General features: G+C 47.0%; 1 protein-coding gene across 10 annotated transcripts in view; it reads left to right on the top strand.

Annotated features, from left to right (window-relative positions):
- The window catches only part of COL22A1 (collagen type XXII alpha 1 chain), a 325807-nt gene that overhangs the window by 71312 nt on the left and 241799 nt on the right, over positions 1-12696 (top strand). For all 10 annotated transcript variants that reach the window (XR_001745487.2, XM_017013150.3, XM_011516886.4 and 7 more), the window contains one exon: positions 9580-9691. Coding sequence is in view for 9 of the 10 variants with exons in the window: in XM_017013150.3 (XP_016868639.1) it covers positions 9580-9691 (112 nt within the window). In the remaining variant the exon portion in view is untranslated. The remainder of the gene's footprint in view (positions 1-9579; positions 9692-12696) is intronic.

Here is a 12696-nt window from a genome sequence, read left to right as displayed (position 1 = left end):
AATAAGTGTATTTATATCTGAGCTATTGGGCTGCTGCAAAAATAATTGTGCAAAACTTTAATGGCAAAACCATAATTACTTTTGCACCAATGCAATACTTTGCCAAGGTGTAAACCTTCTGGTCAGTTTCACTTCAACATTCCCACTTTTTGCCTTGGTAATCCCCAGCGAGGCTCTGGCTCTCGGATAATCTATTTTCTATCCACTGGAGTGTGAATGTGTCTGCGCAACTTTTCCCTGAGACCCCTCCCATTGATATTCGTCTTCAAAGCAAATTCTTACCTTACTGCATTATATACCTGTGGCTTTGGGAGCCGTGAGTCCTTCATAGCAGTATCACCCAAGTAATTCATTATCTAACACACATATCCATAGAAAGGAATCATTATGACAATAGTGTGGTTAATAAAATCATAGTAATAATGAATGCCTCCTGAGCATTTACTGTGTGCCAAAGGGTTTGCACGCATTTCCTCATTTACCCTCACAGCACATGAGATGCACTCCTCTATATGTTATATGGGACACACTGTTGTACATTTTACAGTTGGAAAAACTGAGGCACAGAGAGATTGAGCCACTTGCCTGAGTTTGTGGCGGAATGAGGATTTGCACTCAGACCACCATTCAGCAAAGCCCACATTTGCCACTGTTTTGCCACATCAAGTGGCCAGTCTTGGAGCTTGGACTGTACAATGTGTATTTCTAGGTAACTGATTCAACAGAGTGAAGAACTGAAAGCCGTATTTGTCTTAAAAATCAGGCAAACTTACCCAAACCATCAAAAGTTACTCTCTTTTCCTGCCATAGGAAGGGAAAAATAGGCTGCGTTGCAATATTCAGAGCTCTTCCCCATGGACTGGCCACTCCCAGACATAGCACTTTTGCTGTCATTGCATCTACTTGGTGGCTGGAAGAGTTGAAAGAAAATTGCACTTCCTTTGCTGCCCCCAGGCCCATCCAGACCACTGTTGTCTTTCCTTTGGAGTTTTGTAGCATCTCTAATCAGCATGTCAACCTCCAGCACTGCCCTCTTCCCTCCTCTTCGTCAAGGGCTGTCTTTCTAAAACCTGGATTCCTTGGCTCCTAGAATCTAGTCCATGCTTCCTACTCTGCAGAAGAGGTTCTGACTCTTCTGTCCTAGCTTACTCATGAATCTATTGGAATGCTTGCTAGCCCCCAAAGATGCAGTACTCCCCTTAGCTGATGGTATTACCTCTGTGTGGTGTGTCCATCCCCAACTTATTCTCACAGTGAGCTCCTATTCATCCCCCAAAGCCCAACTCAACAGTCACCTCCAGGAAACTGCTTGAAGCCCCACAGGGCAATTAGTTGCTCTTTTAACATTTTATTCTATTCTGAGAACTCCAATCTGAAGGCATTATAATGATTTGCGTCCCTGTCTACCTCCCCAGCAAGCATATGAGCTGTTTGAGAGCAGGACTTGTTTATACTTGGGCTTTATTCTTTGTGTCTTAAGAGTAGAGGACCGTACCTGACACTTAGAAGGAATGTGACAAATGTTTGTGAAATGAATGGATGGATATATGAATGAATTAGTGAAAATAAGAAACATTAATCAAAGGATGAAAACATGAATGGTTGGATGGGAGGCTGGATGGAGGGATGGACAAAATGATGGATGGAAGAAGGAAGAAAGGAAAGGAGGGAGAAAGAAGAATGGAAGGAAGGAAGGCAGACAGACAAATGAACAAACAAACCTGCCTGCATCATCTGTAACTCAGCATGAATTTAAAGCTTTTCTTGTCATTCTGTAGGCTGAAGAATAGCAATTATTTTCTACTTAAGAATAATTCTGGCTGGGTGCAGTGGCTCACGCCTGTGATACTAGAGCTTTGGGAAGCCAAGGCAGGTGAATTGCTTAAGCTCAGGAGTTCAAGACCAGCCTGGGCAACATAGTGAAACCCCATCTCTACAAAAAATACACACAAAAAAATCAGCCAACTATGGTGGTGCGTGCCCCATCTCTACCAAAAAATACCCATGAAAAGATTAGCCAAAGCTGAGGTGGGTGGTTCGCTTAAGCCCAGGAGGAAGAGGTTGCAGTGAGCTGAGATCACGCCACTGCACTCCAGCCTGGGTGACAGAGCAAGACCTTTTCTTAATAATAATAATAATAACTGATTCTTGCTGGGAAGATTCAGGAGCGCGTGTGTGTGTGTGTGTGTGTGTGTACTCACACATGAAAATGCAGGACTTTGAACAGATTTCTTAGTCTACGACATATGTGGAGGATCCTTTCAAAGAGTCTGTTTGGTGACCGGGACCCTCTATTATGGGCCCTCCTGTGTCAGTCCACAGCCAGAGGAGTCCTGAAGCCTCCCCTCCCTCTTTGGAGTCTCCCTGGAAAAGAAATCACAATGTCAGCTGGGCATCCTTCAGTCTGAAGAGCAAATACTGTTTGTGCAGTTCTGAATGCACAGAGAACCTGCTTTATCTACCGTCTCCTCTAATTATAACCAGCCCCGAAAAACCGCTCCAGCCATGTTCAGGCTGAAGAGGGAGTTGTGGAGAGATGGAGCCTCAAATTTGCCAATTTAAATGCCATTGGGTAATAGGGACAGCTTCTGTATTCTGGAAAAAATGCAGTCCCCAAAAGCCTCACCTCCAGGCTTTCCCATAAATGACTCTGGCTATTTTTAGGGCATATCTGGGCTGGGTCTGGGAGCACGAGGATGAGAATAGACGCAGGAGATTGGAGGCATAGGTCTTAGATGGCCCTGCTGCTCACCAGCCAGCCAACCTTGGGTCAATCTTTTGACTTCTCTGAGCCTCAGTTTCCTCACCTATATAACAGTGGATCCTACAGAATGTCTTCAAGAGTCCCTCTCAGCTCTAAAAACCAAATGTTCTACAAATTCTAGCCAATAAAAGCGTTAGGCAACTTTTCTAGAAGTTTAGCTACTTAATGCTTAAAGCATATGTTAGGCATGTGCAGGTCTCAAATTTGGCCACAGACATCCTGGATGTCTCTCTCTTCCCACTTGGGCCCCCCATCCAGATAATCACCAAGTCCTGCCCATGATACCTTCTAAACCGCCCTCCAATTCAACTGCTTCTTCCATCCCTCCCTCCTCACCTGCCCTCATCTCACTCACCTCATCTCTGCCCTCCAGTTCCCAGCTGGAACTCTGTGTGGGAGCAGAGTGCCTTGGGCTGCGTTAAACATTGCAAATGCCCAGTGTGCATTGTACCTTTACCTACTCCTGGCTGGTCTTGCCCCTCCATGCCCTGCTGCCAGAATGACCTTGGAAAATAGAAACCAGATGGTATTTCTCCCTCACTTTAAAGCCCTCTGTGGCTCCTCATTGCCTGAAGAAAGAAACCCAAACTCGCCGATGGAGCCGACAAAAGCCCAGCCTGACCGGCACCAGCCCACCCTATTCCCAGCCAGTGTACCCTCGCCGTGGGTCCTGACATCCCACAGTAGCCCAGATGCTTGTTCATGATGGCAACCTGAGCAGCCCACGCAGCATCTAACACATAGGAGGCCCTTTATAGTGGGTCATGAATTCCTTCATTCTCTTCTTCTCTCCTTCCACAAATGACCCTCAAATGCTTGAATAGGAACAGCAAAAGCAGCAGGCATTTTAAGGATGGAGAAACAGATCAAATCATCCCTTTCCTGAAAGAGCTCTCCATCTACTGGAGGAGGCAGCCCCATAAACATAAGCTGCCTGCATCTTACCCAGACCCATGGAAACTCCAAGAGGAACTAAGGCAGCTAAGGGGGTGGGGGAGGGCAGCAGCAAAGTTCCATCCAGGTCGACCTTTGCTGGATGAGGTGAGGAGCACACAGTAGGTACCTGGCACAGCAGGTGCAGCCAGTGACCTGGGCCATCACTAAGGTCTTCTGACACCACGTGGTCCAGCGGCTTCCCTGGCTTCAGCGAGGTGCTCCCTCTATTTTTTGCATAAAACAATTGCTTTTTTTTTATCTCACAGTGCCTTGCATCACAGCCTGCTTTCCTCGGGAACATTTTTTATTCTCCTTCCCAGCCCTTATTTATTTTGGGCAATTTATCTTTTTTTTTTTTTGGTGCCCTTTGCTGCCACCTAGTTAATTCCTTGTTGTTCCAAGTTTTGTTGTATTCAACTCTTTGTTTTTGTTCACTGAAACCAATAAAAGTGGAACCAGAAAGTAGAGCATAGGCTTGCTTTTTGAAAACAAGTCTATTTCATATATTCTCTCCAATATGACTGCTGAAGGGAAAAGCAGATGAAGGTGTCCATTTTTAGTGGTGTTTGATGGTGCTGTGAAGTAGAGGATCGGCCCACTTTGCAGTTCCCGGCCCTGACTTTTCCCAGGGTAGGCACGTGTCCGCCCAGATTCTGGACCAGCTCTTAGGCTCTCCTCACTCCCCCTCATCCCTCAGTGAGTGTGTGAGGGGCTGCTGAGGCCACCTGTGAGCCTCCTCTGAGTAAGAGCCCTCACTCCCCATGAGCCTCCAGGGACCCCACCTCTGTGAGATTCCTCAGGTGGCCCTGAGAAGTGGCTGCCTATCCCCTTTGCACAGATGACAAATGGGGGCTTAAGGGGCTGAGAAATTGCCCCAAAGCCGTGGAACTGCTGAGTCTGAGAACAGGGACAGGAACCCAGGTGTGGCCGGCTGCGGTGCTCTCTTTCCCTCCACGCCACTGCTTCTGCTGCCTCAATTACACTGGCTGCTGCTTTTCTTCAGCAGCGACCCCCTCCCCCAGCTCCCACCTCAAGAACTCCCAGGTGCTGTCTGTGCCCCTCCTCAAGGTGACAACCCTGCAAGGCACGTCCTCACCCCTACATCACTGAGGAGGAGGCCACCAGGACACGTCCCACCTCTGGCCAGGGCTGGGCCAGGTTTTGAACCTAGAATGGGCTGGTCTCAAAACCTGTTCTCACCTATTCTGCCTTTCTCTGGGACAACATCTAATCCTAAGCAGACTGTACACTTTAGGCACCAGTTTCATGGAACCCTGGAACCGCAGGGCCCTCCAGGTCTTCATGGCCAAGCTCCCCCATTCAGAGGCACCAGCCCCTCCCACTGCTGGGGCTCCTCAGGCCCCAGGACACTTCCAGACACAGAGGCCCCAATACAGGGGCAGCCCGGTGGGTTGTCAAAGGCCCCTTGTTGTATGGGGCCCAGTCAGTTCCAACAGCTGCTCCTCACTGGGCCTGCCTGGGAGCCCAGAGCTGTGGGGACTCTCCATGCTTCTGTCCCCAGGCGATGCTGAGACTGCAGCCTCTGGGGCATTGAGGTCCTGTTCAGGTGGGCTGGGGGCTTTGTCAACAGCAGTGCAGGGGAGAGATGAGGGACAGGGAGTGCTCCCAGCATGCATTTGGTGAATGTCTCCCAATGTCTGGGTGACTGGCCTCGTCCAACTTGGGATCTCTCGGGGACTCCCCAGGACTCCCTCTCCGGTAGGTGTGGCGGCTGCTCCCAGTCATGCACTCTGGAGGCCTGGTCCTTATAACCAGAGTGAAAGAGGTGGGGCTCTGGGGTGGTGGCAGAGCTATTGCCAGGGGACCAAGCTTCACTTGGGTCAACAGGTTCCCACTGTGGTCCCCAGGCAGGGACAGTGGGGTTGACCGAGTAACTCCTGGGTGCTGGCTTCCCCCCAGGTATTTAATCCCATCATCACACTTAGGTCTCATGACACCCCTGCAATAAATCATTCTCTCCATTTTTCCAGTTACGGAAACAGGCTCAACAAAACCGGATAACTTCCTCACTGTCCCAGCTGGAACTCTGTGTGGGAGCAGAGTGCCTTGGGCTGCGTTAAACATAATAGATGCCCAGTGTGCATCGTACCTTTACCTGGGATTAACCCCATGGCTTTGAGTAGGAACAGCGGCTGTTCTGTTAACTCCCATCTCCCAGCATACTGAACGGAGGGATTCTTCACTGCGTACAATTGCACATTCAAATTAACTGTTATGTAAAAAATGCAGTTTGACTGGGACTCTTCCCAGCCATGGCAAGAATTGGGGGAAATATGATCAACAGTTTTTGGTGCTAAAAACACAAAAGATGATCAAATTGTACCCATTATCCCAGTTTACAGATGAGACTGATAGAAAGAAAATGACTCAGCCAGGATCACAGGATATTGGTGTCAGGGAGACCCACCCACCTGTCCATGCCGCATGTTTATCTAGAGTTTGTGAGGGTTTAGAGGAGTGATCATGTTCTCATTCAAGGTGAGGGACCCATTAGAGCATCCAGCATTTAGTGAGCAACTGTTGTGTTTCAGGCATGTTCCTACATTTTCTCATTTAAAACTCAAAGTGATTTTCCAAGACGTGAATGTCTAATAGTAGAGTCAGAATGTATTGCCACTGGCAGACAGGCAGACACTGTGCAGGGCCATTGTCCTGTCCAGGCCTGATGACTGGTCTTTTCCTTTTCCTTTTCCTTTTCCCTTTCCCTTTCCTTTCCTTTTCTTTTCTTCTTTTTCTTTGCAACAGAGTCTCTCTCTGTCGCCCAGGCTGGAGTGCTGTGGTGCGATCTAGGCTCACTGCAACCTCTGCCTTCTGAGTCCAAGCAATTCTCCTGCCTCAGCCTCCCAAGTAGCTGAGATTATAGGAACCCACTACCACCCCTGGCTAATTTTTATATTTTTAGTAAAGACAGGGTCTCACCATGTTGGCCAGGCTGGTCTTGACCTCCTGACCTCAAGTGATCCACCTACCTTGGCCTTCCAAAGTGCTGGGATTACAGGCGTGAGCCATTGTGCTTGGCTGACTGGTTATTCTTAATGTCCCATTTGGTGGATGAAGACATGAGGTCCAGAGAGGTTGAGTAAATTACCTGAGAGCTGGCAGGGAGAGAAAGTGTGGGAACAGGGATTTGCATGTAAATTGTTATCATAGCCCTTACTTGTCTACTACACTGTTATTATTATCCCAATTTTACAAAACTGCAGAAGAAATAAGCCCAGAGAGGTTGAGGCTCGTACTCAAGGCCACACAGCTCATTTGTAGGACTTCAGTCAGGAGTATCTGGGTATCTGGTCCACGTGCTGGGTGTTCTCTCCCCCACACAGTCTCTACCAGGGACCAAGGCTGCGTTACAGCTCAGAGTGAGGCCCTATGTTCAGTTTGACAAATCTGCACTGTGGGCCAGCCCTGCAGGTCCTGAGGGGGATAGGGTGGCGAACTCAGCAAGCTGGGCCCTGTCTTCAAGCAGCTGGCGGGTCAGGAAAGCTGGCCTCACTCAGCCTGTGCCTAGTGGCAGCCTCTCAGCTGGATCAACCCATGCACCACAGGGGACCTCAGTTGTGGGACTGTGGGTGCCTGTTCCCTCCCACAAACCAACCGTCTCCAGAGATGCTGAATCACTCACACTAGTGTGTGTAAACAAGCACGGTTTGGAGGGGTGCTTTTTCCATCTATAATGAAGCTTCTGAATACTGTTCGCATCTTTAGGACCCAATATCATTTAACAATTATATCATGAATTCCATTAAATAGCCTGTGTGTGAAATGCTATTTAAAAATGACATAATGGCAGCTCTTAGTCATTTTCCAAGAACTTGACAACCTCAGGATGGCAAAGGGCAGGGAACGGTCCAATCCAAAAAGTGCAGGGTTTCAATCCCAGAGCAACCTTGCCCTGCTCAGAACCCCCTTCCCAGACCATCGCAGGCCAGAGCAGGCCTCTACCTGGTAGCTTCCTCCCGGAGCGCCTTCCCTGTCGCCCCAGCTCTGTTCCTCTCCAGTGCCGCCCCTGCTCACTGACTCTTCATGCCTGGAATTGTATTGCACACTTGCACTGTGCATTTTCTTATTTCTGGGGTCCCCACAAGTTCCAGTTCTCCTGGAGCCAGGATTTTGTGTTGGTGCCTGCTCCAACCCTGGAGCTCACAGGGCTTGGCATATTGGAAGCTCTCAAAAACATCTACTGAATAAATACATGACATCTATGGACAGAATTTAGCATTAGAGGATGCTGTAATTGTGATGAGAAAACAGTAAATATAAAAAGTGCTTTGTTGGTGATCTACTGTATGTCAGGTACTGTATGAAGAACTTTGTATCATTTAAGTCTCACAGCAATGACGTACATTCGAAAATAATCCCCTTTTTACAGATGAAATAAAGCCAGTGCTCAGAGATGTCAGGCAACCTGCCTAAGGTCACCCAGCAAAGATATAGTGATTAGGATCACCACCCAGATCTGTCCGGTTCTAATACTCAAACTTTATGTCAGGACTACCTGCTTCCCTCCCTGACATTTCTTACACAATGCTTGGCGTGGCCCTGGCTCTCAAAAGCATGAATGAATAAATAATCTCTTTGGGCAGAATTTAGTGGTAAAAGAGGCTAAGAGGCTTTAATCATTATGTTAGTCCTACAAGTCCATTTCCTGTTTTTTTTTTTTTCTTTTTCTCTTTTTTCAGTAGTGCCTTAGAGTATTGGAAACAATGAGGAACTCTTCCTAAAATCTCATGGGTTAGGTGTGAATACCGAGAAGTATATTATCCCTGGGGGGGCACAGGTGAGTTCAGCCTGGTGCCTGCCTTCAGCCGGCTTCCCTGTAACCTGCTGAGAGCTTTCCCCAGTGTCTGAGAGAGACAGTTTCAGGCGGGTGTTGAGTCACACTGTTAGCCTCCAGAACGAGTGTTGTCCTCAGGCCCCTCTGAGAACCTGGTCTGCAGAAAGCATCCCATTGTGGGGGAATGTGGACAGCGTGTGCTGGTGGTTGTGGGGAATAACTTGTAAAAAGAAACCCACTCTGTGAATTTCTCACCATATGCCGAGTGACACATATTTAGGGTCTTACACAATTATCACAGAGCTCTACCCAGTAGGCATCATTGCTGTCCTTCCACAGTGAAGTACCCAAGACTCCTGTGGGTCATGTAGCTTGCCCAGTGTCACATACACATGGCCGCTCAGGATCAAACCCCCGTCCTTACCCTTGACCCTCACCCAAGTCCAAAGCCCCTGATTTTTCTGTTACTTTACATTGACAATGCGTATAAGGTCCTCTCTTAGAGGGAAATTAAACTGAACTAAGGAAAAACAAAGCAAAACAAAACAAAATCATTTCAAATAATGCAGTACCATGAAGACAGTTTATTCCTCTCTGATGTTTCTCTCTTTAAAAATCAGGAAAATTAAAAGCTGCCAAACTGTTACCCACGTAAAGTCCAGATGCAAGGCAAACATACGGCTGCAGGAAGGAAAGCCGTGAGTGGCCGTTCGCCTGCAGAGCCAGCCTGCAAGAGCGAAGAGCACACATCTGGGTTTCGTGAACACCAAGACCCTGCGGCCCTCACACAACCAGGACACCCTCCATTTGTCTCACGCTTAACCACATGCACACACATTTTCTTGAGAAAGCCAGTTGTCTGTGTTCTCCTGCACCTTTTTCCTGGAGTTGAAGCCAAGGCTATACGTCCCATTACTCGGGTGCTTGTGTTTTCTCCCTGAATATGTATTTGAACAACTCCCTCCCGATCTGTTCTCCTGGGGCAGGATGGGCAGGCTGCCTTTGCAGACAGCGGATGTGATTTTCCTTTGTCTCTTATACTCTTCCTTCTCCAAACTCACTCCCAGCTCTTCTCTTTGTACAGGTTTTGACCTGATGGATTTGTTCAGTGTGAAGGAAATCTTGGGGAAGAGAGAGAATGGAGCTCAGAGTTCCTATGTACGGATGGGATCCTTCCCTGTGGTGCAAAGTACTGAGTGAGTGGCCACTTCTCTTTCCAGACCTGCCCAGGGTGTCATGGGAAAGGGCAAGAAAGGGGCCCAGCAGCCTGTTTCATACTTGGCACCGAGCCGGGCTTTAACCTTCTCAGTGCCTTGTAAGGTTGCCCTGCGATGAAGCAGCTGAACCACTGGACCAGGGAATTCGACCTGTGTTTTAGCCAATCTATTATCATTGACTTCATTGGTTCTCTGATCCTTCTACACCTATCTCTCCATACACATTTGGCATTAATCATTCATTCATACATGTGTTTTTCTGTCCATTCATGAAATAACAAACGGGTATGGTTTAGTAGTGCATAGCACCTACTAAGGACCTGACACTGCATTCATGGCAGGCGTGGCTTCACCAGAATCTCGGAGTGGCTTTGGTCAGTTGAGACTGAGTATCACTGTTGACTGGGTACTTGGCTTTACAGATTACTGAATGCCCTTGTGCCTCGAGTTTCTCATGTTTTCAATCCAAAGTGAACGTTCCTGCCTTGCTACATTATTGATAGGATATGATGTAAAGATTTGTCCAGTTCCTGACACTTATTGGGCCTCCAGTCAGGGGCTAAAGATGATACCAAAATGAATGCTCTATTCTTCTTATTACAGGCAGACAAATCTTTTGAAAACAAAAATGACATTGTTACCCAATCCTGACCCCAAGAGAGGGTTCTTGGATCTCGTGCAAGAAAGCATTCAGGGCGAGTCCACGGTGCAAAGTGAAAGCAAGTTTATTAAGAAAGTAAAAAAATGAAAGAATGGCCACTCCAGAGACAGAGCAGCCCCAAGGGCTGCTGACTGCCCATTTTTATGGTTATTTTTTGATGATATGCTAAACAAAGGGTGGATTATTCATGCCTCCCCTTTTTGGACTATATAGGGTAACTTCCTGACGTTGCCATGGCATTTATAAACTGTCATGGCGCTGATGGGAGTGTAGCAGTGAGAACGACCAGAGATCACTCTCATGGCCATTTTGGTTTTGGTGGGTTTTGGCCGGCTCCTTTACTGCAAGCTGTTTTATCAGCAAGGTCTTTATGACCTGTATTTTGTGCTGACCTCCTACCTCATCTTGTGACTTAGAATGCCTTAACCATCTGGGAATGCAGCCCAGTAAGTTTCAGCCTCATTTTACCCAGCTCCTGTTTAAGATGGAGTTGCTCTGGTTCACACGCCTCTGACAATATTGTGTTATGCGACCTCTCTTCCATCTTTAAACTATTAATATTTAATTCCTCCAGTGTTCTTAGTAAACTAAAAGGCCAGGAAGAGGAAGGTCCCTGTGTGACCCAGCCCTGTCCTGCCTTTGTGGCCTCCTGGCTCATCCTCCAGGCCTCCCTGTCTACCTCCTGTCTCTGTTCTAGGTCCTCCCAGGCATCCTCCTCCCACTGGGAGGCCTTAGTTCATGTTCTTCCTCTACCTGGGACACGTGCCCTGCTCATCCTGCAAAGCATGCTCACCCATTATGCTCTCTAGATGCCTTCCTTGAATCCCCAAAGTCAGGCCTTCCCCTTACCTACCCTCCTCCCAATTTGTACTTCTGTACAGAATGTGTTAAATTTGAAGTTAGCTGATCAATTGTGCAATAGTCTTATCTCCCCTGCTCAATGAGAAGTCCTAGAAAGGAACTGAGTCTTGGTTTCTGCTACAGTCTCGGCACCCAACTAAGCCCTGCCCAGAGTAGGGAATGAGGAAATATTTGCTGAATGAATGAGTCAACAGCCCGTAAGGAGTGAAAATGTTCTTTCAGATGCTAGTCTGGCAAAGACTGGCTTTGAACGCCAGCTCATAGAGTAGGGGTTTCTGCATGTGTGTGATCCTTTTTGTTTTTTTAATTCAATGAACATTCTCTGAGTGCCAGCCACACACCAGGCACTGTGTCAGACCCTAATGTCATTTCATCCGTGGCTCACAGTGTCTGCATTCCAAGAGCGATTCTACAGAAGAAGAAATGAGACAAGTCACTTCCTCTCTGAGTCTCGTTTTCATGAAACAAAGACAATAATCGCTGTCAGCCAACTCTTGAGAGAGTCATTTTCCCAGACAATGAGGTTGTTCTCTCTCCACACACAGCCAGGTGCTGGAGGATGTTATTATGAATCACCTGGCCCCATGCTCATGTGGGGGGTGCACAGGGATGAGCAGAGTCTACACCCTGTTTCCTCCTTCACTCCCCCTCACTTCTTTGCCTAATATGTCCAATTCACCACCTATTCCACTTGTAAGCAGAAAAAAATCACATGGAACTTTAAGAAAAAAATGCAAAAGAGAAGGAACAAAATAAAGAAAGCAAAAGTTACACAAATCTAGTGGAAGGGTCTAACCAAGGACCACTCTGCTAACCTTCTAAGGAAGCACTTGCATCAAAGAGCAAAGCGGCCGAATTCAGGCAATGCTCTGTGGAACACAGCATGGGACCCCGATTCCGGTCACGGATTTGGCTCCTTCCTGTTCTCTGAGAGTTGCTCTGAGGAGGAATTTCCACATTTTTTTTAATGGCAAAGCACCCAAAACAAAATCAAATTGGCAAAGCTCTTTCATTTCAAGAAAGGATATTATACTTTTAATTTCTAAAGCTTTGAAGTTTAAACACATATACATAAAACTTTAGTTTGCAAGTTAATTTTGTTCATAAAGAAAAGTTGTCACTTTTAATATTTACATTTTTTCTCACCTTTTTAATATGTAAAGGGCATTGACGCACCTTATCTAATTTATTTCTCATGACAATAACAGAAACGAGCAAGGCAGGTATTACACTTTTCACTTAGCTGGTACAACATTTGAGACTCAAAATGGGACAGTGATTTGTTCAACACCTCACAGGTCAGAAGAAGCAGAGGCTGGCCTCAAACTCAGGTCCTCTAATTACACACCATTTACCCTTCCACTGCCATCTCATATCTGCTATATTATTTGTGGAAAAGATTGGATTCAGCTATTTCCTTTCTTTAGATGTTTTCTGTTAATGATCTTTTTTCTCCCTGATT

The sequence above is a fragment of the Homo sapiens genome, chromosome 8, assembly GCF_000001405.40.
Source record: "Homo sapiens chromosome 8, GRCh38.p14 Primary Assembly".
In the NCBI taxonomy this organism is placed as follows: Eukaryota; Metazoa; Chordata; class Mammalia; order Primates; family Hominidae; genus Homo; species Homo sapiens.
Note: the sequence above shows the minus strand (reverse complement) of the source record. Positions and strands in the feature narration are given on the sequence as shown.